At 36.3% G+C, this 20152-nt stretch overlaps 1 protein-coding gene across 4 annotated transcripts in view; it reads left to right on the top strand.

Moving 5' to 3' along the window:
• OLFM3 (olfactomedin 3) overlaps positions 1–20152 on the top strand; it is a 194367-nt gene that overhangs the window by 8305 nt on the left and 165910 nt on the right. The gene's annotated exons all lie outside the window — the stretch shown is intronic.

Genomic DNA, 20152 nt, shown 5'->3' with positions numbered 1-20152 from the left:
CACCTAATAAACTTGAAATCCTGGGTTAAATGATTCATGAATATAATCTATGTTTTTGATCCATTTTTCCATCAGACAAGATACTGAGGCAGTGAAGTAAGACTGAGTTTAAGAACCTTTAAAGACTTAGAACTCTTATGCCAGGTTACTTATCTTGACTTACGCCAAAAATCAGCTTTCCTTAAATTTCTTGTTAATTTCCTGCACACCCCACTATCCTCAGTGCTATTTTTGACTTGTAGTAGCTCTCTAGGTTGCTGCAACTTCAATACTCCTGTGAATTATCTGTGTTTCATGATGCTTGGTGGCAAAGTTAGTATATCCTCTTAGTGTCCATTTCATTTGCATGGACTTATAAGTCCAAACATTTCATTAATGTGTACATGTTGTTTTGACTACTTTTATTGTATGTAATGTCTTAGCTTTATTTGATAAATTCATATATTACCTATATTTTTCCAACTCTTTTTAAAAGCTGACCTTTTTTTAAGTATCTAAAGGTTCTGTTTAAATTATTATCTTAGTATATACACTTATAATGGTACTGTGCCATATAAAGAAAAGCCATATTGCCTCCATTTTTCTACTACATTATTCCAAGAACATAGCACCACCATCAAGAATAATTTTTAATAATTAAAAACAAATATAAGTATAGTGGAGTCAGATTCATTGGATTTTAACTTCTAAATAGTATCAGAAATTAAATATTTTGTATGATTAACTTTGTAGGTTAAAATGCTCTGGAAAAAATGTCAGTAATAAAGTTGCTTAAATATTACAAATAAACAGACATCTATATAACCCCAAAGGGAGGACATAAATTGAATAGACAAGCCTATTAATTTTTCCAACTAAGTTGAAGATGATTAAGAAGAATTGCCCCTTGATGATTTAAATAATATTACTAGAGGGACCAATTCCAGATGGCAAGATTTCTTCAAATAGAGAATCAGTACTGGAAATGTTGATTAACTAGCACCAAAATGTCACTGGTAAAATATGACTTACAAAAGATGCCATCTCTTCTGGGAGTGATCTACATTTACGGCTGCATCGGGAATTATTTATCTGGAATCAGGACCAACAGTCATTATTTTTACATGTACGTAAGTTTTGTGTCATAATGAAATCTTCATACATATCACTGTAGTAAAAACAAACTGAAATATTATTTGGCTCAAGACTCTCTAAAGACCTCTTATTATACTTATTATTTATAGATGCTACAGATATATTCTACTCTTTATAAGTTGGGTACTAGAAACAGAGAATAAAATGACTTTCATTTGATTGATCTTAAAGTACTCAAGGACTATGCAGAAGGAAATGTAAAAAGAGTAATGCGAAGCTTACGCTGAAGAGATAGCTATTGTAATATAATGACCCCAAACTGAGCAGAAGACATTTGAGGGTAATGAATCAAGTGAATGGAATTAATTCATTGTTTATTCATTGCAACCCTCATTGATGCCAAAGCTTCATGACCTCTTTGTCGGTCAAATCAAGGTAAGACTCCATATCTAAATATTTGTTCTAAAACAAAAATAAAATAAGACTTTGATAAAATTACAAATGAGTTTATATGTAGCATGGAGGTGAGCACATTCAAATACAGTTAAAAGAAAAACAGTGAGGAAAGCTATTTGTTTACGTATCAGGGATGGTTTAAGTTGTTACAGATGATGATTCATTTGTCAATATGTATTTAAATATTTCAGTTAACTTTATTGCTTCCTACATCCCCCAACCCCTACACAGAGAATGATTATATTAATTAATATGAGACCTAGTTACCCTTCTATTACTGCTGGTATTCAACTTTGGAACAAGATCTTCTTAGTTCAACTAATCTTAATACTTCTTAGAAAGAATAAATAGAAGAAAGGAAAAGGCAAGAAAACATCATTAAGCTCCTTTTTCTTTCCCTACTTACGTCTTAACTTTGCAGAGAAAGAAGAAACAAGCTTGACTGCATTTTGTCTATTTGTACATAATGATATTGGAAAAGATCTTATTTCCCTCTCAAGCGACTCAACCTAAATAATATTAATTTAGCATACAAAATGGAGATTAAGGAAAAGAGAAATCATACCAAATCAGAGAAAATCATATACTAAATAGGATATTGAAAAGTTGATAGTATTGTGGACAGAGTACCAAATTAGGAGTTAGAAAAGCAGGGAACTTACAACTGCTCTGTAATTATCTAGTTGTATGGCCCTGGGCAAGTCAGTAAAGTTTTGTGATTTCCATTTCCTCATGTACAAGATGAGTATGTTGAACCACCAAATGCTCTTATACTTTTGGTAGGTCATCCTGAAATGGGGCACATCAATCTCTCAAAAATGTAGTTCAGGCCGGGCTCAGTGGCTCACTCCTGTAATCCCAGCACTTTGGGAGGCCGAGGCGGGCGGATCACGAGGTCAGGGATCGAGACCATCCTGGCTAACACTGTGAAACCCCGTCTCTACTAAAAATACAAAAAATTAGCCGGGCGTGGTGGCGGGCGCCTGTAGTCCCAGCTACTCGGGAGGCTGAGGCAGGAGAATGGCGTGAACCCGGGAGGCGGAGCTTGCAGTGAGCCGAGATCGCGCCACTGCACTCCAGCCTGGGGGACAGAGCGAGACTCTGTGTCAAAAAAAAAAAAAAAAAATGTAGTTCATCATTTTTTCATTCTTTTTACTTCTGCTCATAGCCTCTCAAATTGGTTAAGTTAAAGGTAAAAATGTATATTGCTTTCATTTTGCTGAAAATTAGAATTAAAGTCTTGGAGAAAAATCACTGCAATTCATTGTATACATATAGTGACACACACACAAAATTAAGTACAAAAATATATAAGCTTATTTCACATCCCAAGCACTATGGCTTATTTAAGATTTATTCTGTATCTTCCCTTCCATTAGTTTTTGCAAATTTAATTGAAAGATAAATGAGTAAATTACCTTTTGTTTCTACTGTCTTTATCTTATGAAAGTTAAAGCAAAAGAGATGGCTAAAATTATAAGAAAATAGAGAGAACCTCTATTTCAAATCTATAACAGAGCTGATGGATGGTTATCTAGCTTCTGTCTATATGTTTCCGATAGTGGGGAGTAGAACAGTATTCAAGAAATTGGGTTTACTTTTAATCAGAAATAATTATGAGAAAGTTTCTTTTTATATTGAGTTACACCTTCTAATGATATTTACTGCTGCTGTGTTATGGTTTTTTGGCAAAATATAATAAAAATTGTATATTGACTGTGGTAGACAAAATAATATCCTTCCAAAGATGTCTGCTTTCTAATTCGCAAAACCTGTGCATATGTTAACTTACATGACCAAACGGAATTTGTAGATGTGACTAAAGTAAGGATCTTGAGATAAGAATATGATCCTGGATGTTCTGGGTAGGCTCAGTATAATCAAAATGGTCCTTTTAAGAGGAAGGCTGGAGGCCCAGAATCAGAAAAAGAAGCAAGGATGACAAAAGCAGAGATTGGGGAGATGCACTTTTAAAATGGGGAAAGGATGCACAAGCCAACATATGCAGGCTGCCTCTAGAAGCTGGAAAGCCAAAAGAAATGGATGCTTCCAGAGACCCTTTAGAAAGGAATGCAGCCCTGCTGACAGTTTGATTTTAAGCTCCTAAGACTCTTCAGGTTTTTGTCTGCCAGAACTGTAATAAATTTGTGTTGTTCTAAACCATTAGGTTTGTGGTAATTTGTTACAGCAACAATAGAAACTAATACATTGGCTTATATATATTAGTAATAATTGGTAATTACCTTATTAATGTGTACAAACAAACATAATCAGCCAAATAATGCTAAAGTCTATGCTTGTGAATATGAAAATTAGAAAGACCATAGACATAAATTACAGTGTGGTCTAAATATTATAAAAGAAGATAGATAATATAGAAATGAAAAATTGCAGCCGGCCACAGTGGCTCAAGCCTGTAATCCCAGCACTTTGGGAGGCCTAGGTGGGTGGATCACCTGAGGTCAGGAGTTTGAGACCAGCCTAGCCAACATGGTGAAACCCCGTCTCTACTAAAAATACAAAAAAATTAGCTGGGCATGGCGGCAGACGCCTGTAGTTCCAGCTACTTGGGATGCTGAGGCAGGAGAATTGCTAGAACCCTGGGATGCGGAGGTGCAGTGAGCCAAGATGGCGCCTCTGCACTCTAGTCTGGGCGACAGAGCACTGCTTATTGAAGAAGGCTTTCAAAGGATTACACACAGCCCTAACTGAATTACATGATAAGTTTAGGTTTTCCCTGGTTGACATTTATAATATAAAAAATAAATCATTTTGTTGTTAGGTAAAAATCTGCCCATAAAATCTCACCTGCAATTTAAGAACTTTTTTTTTTTTTTTTTTTTTGAGACAGAGTCTTGCGTTTGTCCTTTTGTTGCCCAGGCTAGAGTGCAGTGGTGTCATCTTGGCTCACTGCAACCTCTGCCTCCCAGGCTCAGACGATTCTGGGCCTCAGCCTCCCAAGTAGCTGGCATTACAAGTGTGTGGCACCACGCTCAGCTAATTTTTGTAGAGCTGCGGTTTTGCCATGTTGCCCAGGCTGGCCTCAACTCCTGACCTCAAGTGATCTGCCCACTTTGGCCTCCCATGGTGCTGGGATTACAGGTGTGAGCCGCAGGCTACCCGTGATTCAATACAATGATGACTATGATTCAATTTTTTCCTTCTCCATCGCTGTCATCAGTCAAAACGTGAGCTACCAAAGGCAATGGCAAGTCTTCCAATGAAAGCAATTTTGTTTAGAAAACCAATGCATATTTCATATAGAACAGACAAATAAATGATGATTGCTTAGTGACACAGGGTTTCCTCTTTCATGTGCAATTGAGAAAAAAATGTGTTGTATAGTTTGCTTATTTAATTGCAAATAATTGAGAATTGCTTTTAGGTTTAAGAAAATGTATAAAGAAAATTATTAAAGAAGAATATAATTAGTTCAGATATTTAAGATTCTCAGAGTTCTAAATTATCACATGGGATAGGCTGGACTATTGGCATTTATGTGGTAACTACTTTTTCAATAAATACTTACAGCTGGCACTAGTTTAGGAGTTGGACATAAAACATGTTTATAAAGATACAGTTTCTACCCTTCTAAAGTGCTTAACATTTTTTACTGGAGGACCCAAAGATATTTATTAATAATTATAGTACTGGATGACATGTCCCATGGCAGAAACCTGTATAAGACACAAGGAGAGAATGTGGCAGGGTTGAGAGTGGGGGACCTATAGCAGAATGGAGGATAAGAGAGAGTTCCCTGGGGACAGGAATCCTTAAAGAAAGGTTAACTAGACAATGAAGAATGAAAAGATATTCCAGTAAATGGCAACAGCATGTATGAAGTCAAAGAGATGTACAAGCCTGTGAAGCACTGAAGAGCTACTGAAGAGCTTTTTTACATGACTTGAGTTTTTCTTATCCTTAATTATGTGAGATGCAAAGAGGCTGATGAAGATGTAAAAGAAAGAGAGCCACTGGTGGTATTAAAATGATAAAAATATAATTATCCAAATATTTCAGGACTTAACCTGTACCAGATTAAAAATATTTCTGGAATTTAGTTATCTTAACTCCAAACAAGGTGAAAGATCGAATTTAAAAAACATACAATTTAGTTGTACTATTCGAGGTTCTCCTGAGAAACAACCAATATATAAATTGTGTGTGTGTGTGTGTGTAAAAACAAAGAAAGACAGAGACAGAGAGTGAGACTCATTATAAGAAATTGGCTCACATGATTTTGTAGGCGGATAAGTCCCAGATCTTCATTTAGCAAGCTGGACACCAAGGAGAGGGTATAGTTCTGGTCAGGTATTCTGGAGGATGAAGAACCAGGAAGAGCCAATGTTCCAGCTCAAGTATGAATGCAGGAAAAAAGGGATAGCCAAGCTCAAAAGCAGTCAGGAAGGTGCAGTTCTCTTCTGCTCAGGCTTATTGTTCTATGCAGGCCTGCACCAGATTGGAAGAGGCCCACACACATTAGGGAAGTTACTTTACTCAGCCTACCAATTCAAATTTTAATCTCCTTTGGAAGCAACTTCACGTATGCATGCAAAATATTCGTTGTTCAAATATCTGGGAACTCCATAGCCTGGTCAAGTTAACACATAAAATTAACCATCACAGTAGTAATACATTTTAAAAAAATCTAAGTGTCTCTATATTCTCTATCTTTATATTCCTATCTCTGTCTGTGTTTACCTACCTAGCTAGCTATGGATGATCTATTTATTTTAATCATCTAAACAAAAATTACTAAGAAGAATCCCAATTCATATCTTACCTCAAGGTCTCCATGATTTCATTGTGATTGTCTCTGCTTGTTGAAATTATGCTGATTGGACCCTATGATAATCATAAGTGGAGATTCTTTGCACTGTAGATTGCATCACCATCGCCACACATGCATATTAATCAATTATTTAAATTTGTATAAATTCTTTTATAATAAGTCTGTTGTTGGGGAGGTTTCCCCCAAATAAAGAATCTTCTACTATAGATGACTCTGGCTTGATTAAACTGGCCTTCAATTTAGCATAACCTAAAACATTTTAGTCATTTTGATTTCAGATTCTAATGACCAGTGTTTTTTCAATGTTTATTCATCTTGGGCTAAAAGTAATTCTTTTATTCATATCTTTCTTATTTTTCCATTTCTTTCCTTCCTTCTTCCCTTTCCTGCTTCCTTCCTTTATTCCTTCTTCATATTCTTTCTTTCATTATTTTACTCATTCTATAAATAAAATAAAACTCCATCCTAATGCTAAAATTGAGGCAAAAGTTCAAATCATGTGTAATGGGTTGGTATGTTGACATTAGCTAACAGGGAAATAATTCCCAAAATTTTCCCAACTGGAAGGGAATATGTTTCTTAAGATGGGAAATTTTGGTAGATGAGAGAGAAGATCAGGAGTTTGATTTTGAACATGTAAGTAAGTTTGAAATGTTTATGAGACATCCAAGTGGAATTGTAGAGTAGGCAGCTGTTATTTGAAGTTCAGGGGAGATGTCTGAACTGCATATATCATTTTGAGAATCACTAGTGTGCAGACGGTATTTAAGCCCATGAAACTGGAGAATTCTGAGGAGTTTTGCTGTAAAAGAAATGAGAAATAAAGTATACCTAGAGGAGAATATGGCATCAGACATGTTTGTTTTTGTTAATGTCTAAAATGGAAGAAATAACACTCTACTATGATGCTGATTGGAATGATACATGAGAGATTTGTTTTAAAATGGGAATGCAGAGACTTCCTTTAGAACAGGTGGGAAGACAAAGTATATGATACAAATGCTGTTGGAAGTTCAGCTAAGAGAGTGTGTGAGTGCATGGAAGCTTCCTTGTAGTTGCTTTCATTTTCTCGGTGAAATAGGAAGCATGGTCAGCAGCTGAGAGGGAGGATGACTTATGTGTAGGGAGAAGAAAAGAATAATGTCCTGAAAACTGCAATTAGCAGCAAGGAGGACAGCTTTTCACACTGCCAGGCTCACAGTGACAGAGAAGTGTGGCAAAGGGCTTGAGAATTCTTTCGGGGCAGCTGAGTGTTCAGAGAAGAATCAGATTTCAGTAAAAGTTAAAAGGTGAAAAACATTTTCAGAGAAATGAGCAGACATGAGGAAATGTCACTAATGATTGATTGTGAGTTCCTCACTTGTTGCAGTCTGGACTAAATCGATAATGAATCTTTCATATACATTGAAAGACAAGCCTGAGTTTTCCCCAGGAACTAGTTATTTTTTTTCACTGACCCTATGAAAAGGTTTAGTTAGCCCAGTTCTCTTCTGATGTGGAAAATGCACAAAGCCATAAACTAGTTGGAGGGCATTCGACACAAATTATAATAGAAAGTGGGAGGATGTATCACTCCCTTCCCTCTCACTCTGGGCCATATTTACCCTAGGTGGTTGTGTTAGTCCATTCTCACACTGTGATGAAGAAAGACCCAAGACTGAATAATTTATAAAGGAAATAGGTTGAATTGACTCACAGTTCCGCATTGCTGGGGAGGCCTCAGAAAACTTACAATCATGGCAGAAGGCAAAGGAGAGGTGGGCACCTTTTTCACAGGGTGGCAGGACAGAATGACTGCAAGCAGGAGAAATGCCAGATGCTTATAAAACCATCAAATCTCATGAGAACTCACTCACTATCATGAAAACACCATGGAGGACACCACCCCCATGATCCAGTCACCTCCACTTTGTCCCACCCTTGACACATGGAGATTATGGGGATTACAATTTGAGGTGAGATTTTAGTGCAGACAGAGCCAAACCATATCATTCCACCCCGGCCCCTCCCAAATCTCATGTCTTTTCATATTTCAAAACCAATCATGCCTTCCCGACAGTCCCCCAAAGTCTTAACTCATTCAGGCATTAACTCAAAAGTCCACAGTCCAACGTCTCATCTGATACAAGGCAAGTCCCTTCTGCCTATGAGAATAAAAATCAAAAGCAAGTTAGTTACTAGATACAATGAGAGTACAGGCATTGGATAAATTCTCCCATTCCAAATGGGAAAAATTGGCCCAAACAATGGGCCTACAGGCCCTACCCAACTCTGAAATCCAAAGGGCAGTCATTAAACCTTAAGCTTCCAAAATAATCTCCTTTGACTCCCTGTCTCACATCCAGGTCATGCTGATGCAAAAGATGGGCTCCCATGGCCTTGGGAAGCTCCACCCCTGTGGCTTTGCAGGGTACAGCCTCACTCCCAGCTGCTTTCATGGGCTGGCATTGAGTGCCTGCAGCTTTTCCAGGTGCACAGTACAAGCCGTTGGGGGATCTACCATTCTGGGGGCTGGAGGATGGTGGCCCTCTTCTCACAGCTCCACAAGGTAGTGCCCCAGTAGAGACTCTGTGTCGGGCTGCAACCCCACATTTCCCTTCTGTACCGCCCTAGCAGAGGTTTTCCATGAGGGTTCCACTCCTGCAGCAAACTTCTGCCTGGACATCCAGGCATTTCCATACATTCTCTGAAATCATTCCACATTGCTGGGTAAGCCTCAGGAAACTTACAGTCATGGTGGAAGGCAAAGAAGAAGCAGGCACCTTTTTCACAAGGCAGCAGGATGAAGTTAGTGAAAGCAGGGGAAATACCAGATGCTTATAAAACCATCAGATCTCATGAGAACTCATCCACTATCACGAGAACAGCATGGGAGAAACCGCCCCCATGATCCAATTACCTCCACCTTGTCCCACCCTTGAAACGTGGGGATTATAGGAATTACAATTCGAGGTGAGATTTAGGTGGGGACACAGAGCCAAACCATATCGGTGGTCATATTTTACTCAAGGGAAAACTCATCCATTGAGTGTTAGAGGTGGATATGATATAACTATGAAAGAAGGGCAGAGTAGACAGCAGGTGGGACTGTAAGTTTTAACAATATTTAGTCAAAACTCCACACTGAAAATTCCCTTGGAACATCTTTAAAGCAATGTAAAAATTAACCCATGTCTAAGAGAATGTATTATTTCTGCATGCCCCCCCACAAGACATACAGAAGAATAGGGTTCACTTTTGTTCCTTCCAAAAATTCTAAGACCAAAAATAAAATTTAATTTCAATATACTACGTTAATGGAAATAAACTTGTTATTTGTTATATTTAGCAATTTATTTCTGCTCTAGCATATGCCTAAGGAGACAGGGATCACATATGGCTCTTAATCTATTATACAATGTCTAATTATCCAACAAACATAGAGGAAGAAAAATGTTAACTTTAGTATTATGTGACTAAAGCAAGAAAAAAAAAGACCTATGTGACATTCTTCCCATTTCCCTTGCTATGGGATGATATAATAGAATGAAAGGAGCGCATAAAGTACTGCAATGTTGTTGAGCTACAAATCTGAAAATGAAAAAATTAAAGCGCCTGTCTGTGTGAGCATATATATGTTTGGTGTAAAAGAGCAAGAGTTTGATCTGGTTACTACTAAAGAGTGAAACCTCAATGATCAAAACTAATTACATTAATTCTAGAAAAAGTAAGTGAATGGCATAAATTACATAATTTTTTAAATGCACTTTATTATTTCTAAATTACATAATAACCTAAGATAATTCTACAAATTTTATTTGAGCTGTTGTCTTAAACAGATTCTTAAAACTAATTGAAAAACTGAATGAGAAGACTTTCAAATTATCCTATCAATTAAATAAACATAACAATTTAAAATTATTTTTTCATATAATTTAAAGTCCTACTGAAAATTTCATTTACTCTAAGAACGCTCATACCTTTTCTTTTCCGTATCTTATCTTTAATCTTTGTGGGAATTATTATATGGTTCAAATGATGCAAAATCATAATAAATAACTTCTTGTTTGAAATTGCAATAAACAACTTGTCTCACTTGAAGCATGTTACTTCTCTCCAAATCACACATTTCTCCATAATACAATTGGGAAAATAATACCTCCCTCAAGGGACTACATAAACATGAAATCACATAACATTTTGAACAGAATCCACTGCCTGGCATTTAGTAAATGCTAGATAAACTAACTTATTTTTCAGTAGATTAGTCTTCAAAAAATATTGCTCATGCTATATGTTCTACCTTGTAACTAATGTACTAATCTATAACCTGATGCTACTTATTCAGTTCATCTTACTCAACTTTACATGATTCCAGTATATGTTATGAGAAAGAAACAAAGTATAAACATATTATTTTTCATAAACTCTCTACCTGTTCCTAATCCCTCTTCATAAAGTTTAATGTTTTCAGGTTAATTTATGAAGCAATGGTGTTAAAGTGTTTATGTTCATGGGACAAAAAGAGAAAAAAGAAACCACAAAGACCCTTCTAAACATAAAAGGCTATATTTGATGGAATAAATCTTGGCCACAATTATTAAAAAAAAATAGCAACCATTGATTTGCCATGAGAGTTGACTAAAGAGAGGTGAAAGGACGCCATTTTAAATATTCTGTCTTTACTCACTTACAGATCATCTCTGTTCTTTTCAACATCACTTCTGGTATTAAAAATTCTTTTGCATAAAGTAGGATAGAATTGAACTAACTAGTGATCCTTAGTGTCCCTCCCAGTTCTGAAATGTATTTTAATCCAACAAATCTTTGCCGAGCACATGTTCAGTTCAGGTCTCCCAGATGCTGTGATTCTAGTTTGTTCCAATTCTCTACGCTCTTTTTGTACTCATGAGCCATTTGGTATTTATTCATAATCACAGTTAGTACTGAAGGAAAAGAGAAATACAAACAGATCTAAATTTGACTTTTTGTTCTAACTCTTAAACAAGGTAGAATATCTCCAAAAACTCAAAAATTAATTTAAAATGACCATTTTAATAATCATGTGAAAAGTTTCTCCAACTGCTATGGGGAAAATGTTTTGAATGAGAAAGTGTTGATTGTAATCTCCAAATTCATTTTATTTAATTACAAATGCTTTTATACTCTTCCATTTTAATAAAAGATGTTAATTCTACCTTTGAAAAATTGGTAAGACTCATAGTTTGTATAACTACTACTGAGATTTCCAGAGGGTAAAATTTCTAGTTTACTATCACCTAATTTTTATTGAAAGCATTGTTTAGGGCAAATTATTCAGAAAAGGTTTTAAATATTGAAGTTGTCCATGAGCTAGGGGGATATACACTCCCATAACTCACCTTCCCACTTTGTATCACTTCTAGTAAAATATACCTTACTATCAAACCAAGTACATCTATTAATGTATGTGTTAAGAATTTTGAGATTCTTAGAGTAATTTAGATTCTTAGAAGGGAAGAAAAGAAAAGTTATCTTTCTTGGAGTCCAGCATATGGTAAAGACTTCAAATTACTTTTCTAATTTACAGAATATACCATAAGTGGTTAAAAACTCATGATATGGAGATGAACTTTTTTGAGCATCTACTTATTAGCAGTAGAATCTTGAGAAATTATAAACTTCTACAAGCCTCAGTTTACTTATATACAAATTTAGGGAAAAGATGAAGCCGGACTTATAAGATTATTGTGGGAAGTACATGACATAATAGTTTCTGTCGGTATCTAAAACACAGCAAGACAGAAACAACCAAAAACACTAATACCAATTATAGCCTGATAGCTAATTCTATTATTGTATTAGTATTTGTATCCGTGTGTAATTGTCTCTTTTTAGGGTACCAATTATGTAAGTCCTCTCCATTTGATGAAAAAGGCATGGATGCAGCTAAAAATCAGCAATAGTCTGTCCAGTCTCGGGCAGCTGTCCAGGGACCAGATGGTCACTACAGTCTACCTGGATACAATGCAGTTCAGCTACTGATAATACCAGGTCAGAGTTCCTTACATGGGATTTAAACACAAAATGGAGTAATTTAAAATTATTTAATCAGACAGAGCGAAGCTCAGTCTCAAAAAAAATTATTTAATCATATATTTGGTAAATTTACTCTAAAATAATAACAAAAATACCCACACATCACCAATTGCAAATTGACTGTATCGTTTTGGAGTGTTTTGGAGACTTTCATGTCTTAATCTTAGGTTCTTTTGTATTCTGTCCTTATTAATTATTCAAAGAGCTTAAAATCTCCTATTAGAATTTAATAATGTCCACTTAAGTATAGCTAGGCTTTTGTTAACTTGCAGAAAATCCTTAAAAGTTGGCTGTTTTTTTCTTCCATCGTTTCTTTCTTACTTTGCTTTTCTTTCGTGCTCTTTCTTTGATTTTTGCATATTCTTTGTTTCCCTGATCTTTTCAACTCTCTGTGTGTGGGTATTACGCTGCGTTGCTCCCTGTGTCTCCTGAATATTCTTTCCTCAAGATAGTAGCCTCTGTGCAATGGGCTAACATTCTGCTACCTTCCCCTTACTTCTGCTATCTCTTTTGATAACTCTGAGCTGTGTGGAAATAGCAATCTCTGCCGAAATCATTGTACTCCTTGTTGTGTTGCAAGCATTAATAATAATACCTTTCTGTGACAGTGGTCACTTGTAGTTTCAAATGACATTTTGCTGGCTGCAATAAGACTATTTTTATCCTCAAGAAAACATTGATATTTTGGCAGAAAAGACTGGCTGTAAGTCAGCTGCCAAAAAACCCTGTTCCTTTAAAAGAATACAGCCAACTATTTCTTATGTTTTGAAGATTTCTCTACCCGCCGCAAAAAAAGGATATATTTTAAAAACTGAAAACCTTTGTTTTAATGTTTTACTATTCATTATCTAATGTCCACAGGATGTTGTTACGTTTCCATAGAAGTAAAAGCATCAGCATACAGATAATAAACTTAATTTCATTTCTAAAACTAAATGCATGTGTGTGATTTAGCCAGATATTTACTTTCTATCCATGAGACTATGTAGGTGTGTTACTGTGTCACTTTAAGTGTTAATATAAATGTTTTCTGACAATATCCGCACCACTGTACCCAAACAGCAATTGTTTACCTGGGAGAAATCTAGATATAGAGTTAATTTCAGATAATTGAAATAATTTGCTTCCTGTGGAGCAGGGATAATTATATGATTTACTTTCATCTGTAAAGCACATGCCTCCACAGACCATGAACTGATGAGTTTATATTGGCTTCTCATTGTTGAATTAAAGTCGTAATCAACTCAGAAGACAAATGCCATGGTAAAGGTGACTGAGAAACAGTTTTTCTGACATCTCTTTTATGAAAGATGGAATAAAGAACCCTGAAGAACAACAACAAAAAAAATGTTTCACATTCCCAATTTAACCTGCACCTTTTTCTAGAGAACATGGCTCAGAAATGTATCAGGAACAATCCCTACTACATGGGGCTTATACTGTAGTTGTGAACCCAGGACCAAACAAAAAAGTAGATAAGCAAATGTCAAAACTATCTAGTATTTGCAAGCTGTCTGCCACAAGCCCGGTTCAGAGCACAGGCATCAGTTGGTTGTAGGGTTATGTAGCATTAGTAGACCCTGTCAGAACTAGGTTAAAGCAGTGCTTTTTTCAAGAAACCCAGCAGAAGCACAACAATACATTGAGAGGACACTATGGGTCCTTATAACCTGGATAAGAGGAAGTTTATAGCATCTTCACAGTGACATAAAATTATGAAAGAAGAGCCACCGTTACAATGTCTAAAACTAAAAAGTGAGGGTAAAACTGGTCCAATTAAGGTATCAGGATCTTTAAGGCACTCCTTTAGTAACTATGAAATTATTGATCTGAGGAATGATATAAAGATATTTACAGCCTAGTTAGCCTACTAAAAATAATTAGCAATCAGCAGGTTGATGTCAAACAATATACTTTGTGTGGAAATACTCAAAACCCTAGAAAATCCATTTACCCTCTCATGCGCTAATTTCTTCCACAGACACGAATGTGTAAAGTGCTAGTCATTGGCAAAAAACAAAGCATTAAACATAGACCCAATAGTGGGTGAAAATAGTTGTTAAATTTGTCATTTTTTTTTTTTAGCATCCACCGTGATCCAGCCACTAAATTTTTTGTTAGTGTTATCTACGAGTTAGGGAAATGAGAAAAGCTAACTACTGGAGAGTCAATAACAACCTTGTATATATGCATTGTAAATGGGGTCTTGAAGCTAATCAAATTAAAAAAAAAAGGCAAATGAACCAAAGTCCTCAGACTGTAATAATCTTTTTTAAGGGTGGATGGTCTAAGCTATATTATTTCAAAATCCTTGGGAAAACAGTGAAAGAAAGCAAGTTTATTTTTCCTCTGCTCTTTTTATCAAAACTGCCAATAATCAGAAATTGGCTTTAGAAAAAAATGAAAAATTCCACATAAAATCCTTCAGTCTGTGACCTCATCTCTCTTTCTTGTCCTTCTTGATACTTTCTACTATAGGCCTATTAAAACTACCATTCCCACATCTGTGCCTTTGGAGTCTTCATTCCTTTGCTTTACAATATTTATTTTGCCTGGAAGACCAATTGTTCTACTCTTTAACTCTCAAAGCCTACTGATTTTTCATGGTTTCACTCAACTATTTCTTCTTCCCCCAGGCAGAATTGGCTTTTCTTTCCATGGCCTCTATGAAGGTTAATTTTAAGTACCACTTTGACCGGACAGACAGATACTTAGATAGCTGGCAAAACATTATTTCTAGGTATGTTTGTGAATATTTTTCCAGAAAAGTTTAATATTTAAATCAGTAAACTCAGTAGACAAAACCTACCCTGGACAACGCGAGTGAGCCTCGTCCAATCCCTTGAGGCCCCAGAAGAATAAAAAAAGAGGAAGGGTGCATTTACTCTCTCTTCAGTTGGAACATCTATGCTCTCCTGCCTCAGACATTGGACATGGAATCTCCTGGTTCTCAGGCCTTTGGCCTCCATGGTTACACCAGCACCCCACCTGGTTCGCAGGCCATCAGTCTCAGACTAAATTACAGCACTGGGTTTCCTATTTCTCCACTGCAGACGGCATGCCTTGGGGATTTGGGCTTCTATAATTATATGAGCCAGTTCCCATAAACAATCACTTCTCATATATCTATATATACCTATTGGTTCTGTTTTTCTGAAGACCCTAATACAGCCCCATAGCACTATATTTTTATTTTTTCTAAAACATTTAAACAGCCTATTTTTTTAGAGTCATTTATGTAGGTATCCAATTCTCTCATGAACGCCTCAAGGCCAGAAATTCAATCCATTTTATTTTTGCCATTGCCGCAGAGGAGGCACACTGTAGCTAGTCAATAAGTGGTTGTGGAAGGAATTGAGACTGATAGATCTATAAACCCACTTTCTGTGGTACATGCAGTCTATATTCAATATTCCGTGCAGCTTACTCCACAAGTGAGAGGAGGGTCTAAGCTTTTGAGCATAGGGATGGTTTTAGAAAATAATTACATTTAAAAAGCAAAATGGAGACCTGTTGAGAATAAATAAAGTCTTGTTTCTTATAGTTGTGAATCTTTTATATCAAGACTTCACCTGAAAAACTGCTAGATTGTGCTTCAAAGCACTGTAAGTTCTAGCCCTGGGTCTATAATGTTATCTAAGATATTTATCATCATTGAGTTCTCTGGACTCAATGTTCTTATCCGAAAATTGAAGGAGTTAGATATAATCATTTTTAAAATGTTTTCCAAACCAACATCCTAAAGTCTACTCTCGAGAATTAGCCAATGAAAGATAACAGACATTTCAGCCAGACAAGATAATCAACTGGAAAGTACTATTGATCAAGTAGTAGAAAGGGATGCATTTTTAATATTATGATCAATGCACTAATTTTCAGTTTTTGCCACTGAAATGTATGAAAAATAGCAGAACTGACAGCATTATGATAAAGACATTCAGTATTCACAAAGGGATAATTTCTACTATAAAGTGAGATTTTTAATATCCTTCTGGAAATATCACAAGACTATTCCCTAATGGGACAGAAACATTCAATCTGCTCAAGGAGCAGTAGGTGCCACATTATCATTACTTTCACAAAGGAAGATGAAAGCAGTAAAATCAAACATCAAAGACTTGAAAGAAATTGAACATAAACTTTAAAAAATATTAGTTATGCCACAGATATATATGTACAAAGGTGAAAAGATCTGATTTAAAAAGAAATAAATTTTGAACTAAAAGTTTACTTTAAAAAATTATCTTGAAGTCAAGTTTATACTTATATATTATAGTTATATATAATACATAAGTATGTGTATATACACTATATATAAAATACATAAAAACAAACACATATGCATCCTAAAATCCTTAAAGCAAAACTAAATTGTATTATCCACCTACTGGGACATAAACTACAAACAAAAAAAGATTCCTTTAGTTCTCATAGGAATAGTCCCCATACTCCTAACAACGTGATTAATAATAAGTGAACAAAGAGAAATTAAGAAATGATCTGACCAAATTTCTATCATCTCTTGTTCTTGAACTATAATATAATTTTAGACATCTTCAGGTCAGTAAAGTCTTGTCTAATTGGGCCTCAAAATATCTTTAATATTGAAAACAATACCATATACCCAATTAAATATAACTTATTCATTTAAGCTCACCATGTTTTCTGAACTTTATTCTGCAATTTTTCCATCTTTGGAAACCATCAAAAATGTAGCCTTGCCATCAAAGATCTGTCAACAGGTGGGGCTGTTCTCAGATGTGCAACAAGAACATGAGTTTACCAGAAGACTTGAAAATGCAGACTTCTTCATTCTGAAGTCTTCATAAAATTTTCTATGTAAATTGCAATTTCACATTTGGCAGAAACCAGCTGAAAAGAAAAGCGTAGGGCCACCCCAAATTCCAATGCAAAAACTATTCCAAGTATCTTCCACCTTCCACATTCAAGCAATCACCAATCCCCGTGTCTGCACCAATAATCAAATTTAAATCAGCCCTTCTACTCCAATTCTTTCATTACTGCTCTGGCTTAGATCCTCATCTCTCACCAGACCAGAACAATTGATGCCCACTTCTCTCTTATACTGTATTTTTAATAATACCTGGCCATCAGCACTGCTGTGAGCGTAATCTTTCCAACAATGGTTAAAAATGTAATTATTTCAGAATCCCACTCAAAAGTCATCAAAACAGTTTCATTATCTCAGAACAAAACCTAAACTCCTTTATATGGCATATAGAGGCTTTCAAAAGCTGGCTGTACATTGCTCATCTGCCATCACTCAGCTACGTGCATTTTATACACAGCAGTAAGGTGCTTTAACATTCAAAACATGATTTTTGTCATGCCGCAATCTATTATGTACGCGCTATCCCTCAGGATGAGAATATCCTCCTCTCCATGTTATTCTGCCTTGCAAACTCCCACCCATGCTTCAACTCAAATTGTTCCTCATGTATGAAGTGTACTCCAGCAGGAAATCGGGTCAGGGGAGGGTGGTCCTTTTCTCCTTTTGTATTTGGGGAAATCATTACAAAAGCTAATTATATTATGATTTTCCTAACTATGTTTGTGTTTGTCTCCCCAGTAGAAGGTGAGGATCTAAAAGACAAGAATCAGAGCCCTGTCTTCATTATCTGTATCCCCAGAGCCTGGCAGAATGCCTGACAGGAAGTAGGTACCAGTAAATATTTGTAAAAGGAGTACGAAAGAAAAGCAGGAAAGAAGGGGGAAAAGATTAGAGAAAGGAGGGGTAGATGAAAGGGAGAAAGAAAAGAATTAATTCATTAGGAGAGAGTAGTGTTTAGACAAATTACTTTGTCTTCATCTTCTCCTCACTTTTCCCCATTCTCTACTTGAAATATTTTTATAGCTATATCTGAAGTAAATAAATGCCAAGAATAATCTTAAAGTGAAAAGAAAAAGGCTGGCACAGTGGCTCATGCCTGTAATCCCAGCACTTTGGGAGGCCAAGGCGGGTGGATCACCTGAGGTCAGGAGTTCAAGACTAGCCTGGCCAACATGGTGAAACCCCAACTCTACTAAAAATACAAAAAATTAGCGGGGTGTGGTAGTGCACACCTGTAGTCCCAGTTACTAGGGAGGCTGAGGCAAGAGAATTGCTTGAGCCCAGAAGGTGGAGGTTGCAGTGAGCTGAGATCAAGCCACTGCACTCCAGCCTGGGCAACACAGCAAGATTCCATCTCAAAAAAAAAAAAAATCTGTCATTACAAAATGGCAACCTGTAGCCTGAAGGGCATGAGGGGACCTAGGGGAAACTCCTGTGTCAGTTAATCACTCCAGACCTCCCCCACTGACTTGCTGGTTGGTATAAGATGCTCCCCTTTTTAATCAAGTCTCCACTTAGAAATACCTCTTCCTTTACCCTAGTTCCAGTACCTTCTCATAGTGCCGACTCACTTATCCTCACCACCATTCTGATTGACATCCTTCTCCTGACATAGACACGGACACATCTTAGTGATGGTATGGACGGGGGAAAAAAAGCCCAAAGAGGGAAAAAAAATCAGTAAGAAGGCAAATCTAGAAAAGATTTGTGCTCATGGACAATGTTAAGAATTGCTGGACATAGAAATAGAAAATCTCACCTAATGTGTTGGAGTTGGTTACATATTATTAAAGTCTGAATAACACAGGAAGAAAATTGATTATTTAAATAGAGGAAAAAGTCTATGTACTTTGACACCATCATTCTTTAAATCTTTATTGAGTACCTAATGCTTTGGCTCTTTACGATAATAAAAAGACAAGTGTCCAGGCATGGTGGCTTACACCTGTAATTCCAGCACTCTTGGGAGGCTGAGGTGGGCAGATCACTTGAGTCCACGAGTTCAAGACCAGCCTGAGCAACATGGCAAAACCTTGCCTCTACTAAAAATACAAAAATACCAAAAAAAAAAAAAAATAGCCAGGCGTGGTGTTGCATGCCTGTAGCCCCAGCTACTCAGGGGCTAAGGCAGGAGGATCGCTTGAGCCTGGAGGGCGTCAAGGCTGCAGTGAGCTCTGATTGTGCCATTGCATTCCAGCCTGGGTGACAGAGGGAGACCTTGTCTCAAAAATAAAAGTAAAAATACATGTAAGACATGGTTTAGTTAGTTTGTAATCCAGCTAAGTAAAATAATAAGACAAATAGCCCTGCCATGCAAAGGCTGTTCACTCTGGGTCACTAATGTCATCACCAGGAAAGCAACTGAAAATCTCACAGAATCTGTAAACATTGAAGTAGAGATAGGAGAAGGAAGAAAAAGGCAGGAAAGGCTCTATGGAGCTATCTCAAGCAGGAATGTTCCCATTTTTAATCTCTGCACTTCCTGATTTCACTTGACTTCCTTGTTATCTTTCCTAAAATTCTATGAATCAAAAAATTCACAATAAAATCATCATTCTTTAAAAACTCCAGTGATTTCTGAGAATGTTAAGGAGCTGTTGCTTTTTGTTCACATATTAGTGGAATTTGTTAAATCGTATAACATTCTTCCTCTCAGACTGAAGTCATTGAGAGACAGGGACAATTTTATATAGTGTGAGTAGCTAATTTGAAGGTAATGAGAAAACACAGTAGTGGAATAGAAGTTGGTTTTCTTTTGCCTTTTCCATATAAGTGGCCTTGAAAAGGCAAGGGTATAATGGAATACTTGTGGGATACATGAGGAAGGGGTACTAATGCCTTTTTTTTTTTTTTTTTTCAGAACAAAAAGAGAGGAAGTTCTTTTTCATTTAAGTTTCCTTTACTAGATGATACCCCATTCC

Source organism: Homo sapiens, chromosome 1, assembly GCF_000001405.40.
Source record: "Homo sapiens chromosome 1, GRCh38.p14 Primary Assembly".
Classification (NCBI taxonomy): domain Eukaryota; kingdom Metazoa; phylum Chordata; class Mammalia; order Primates; family Hominidae; genus Homo; species Homo sapiens.
Note: the sequence above shows the minus strand (reverse complement) of the source record. Positions and strands in the feature narration are given on the sequence as shown.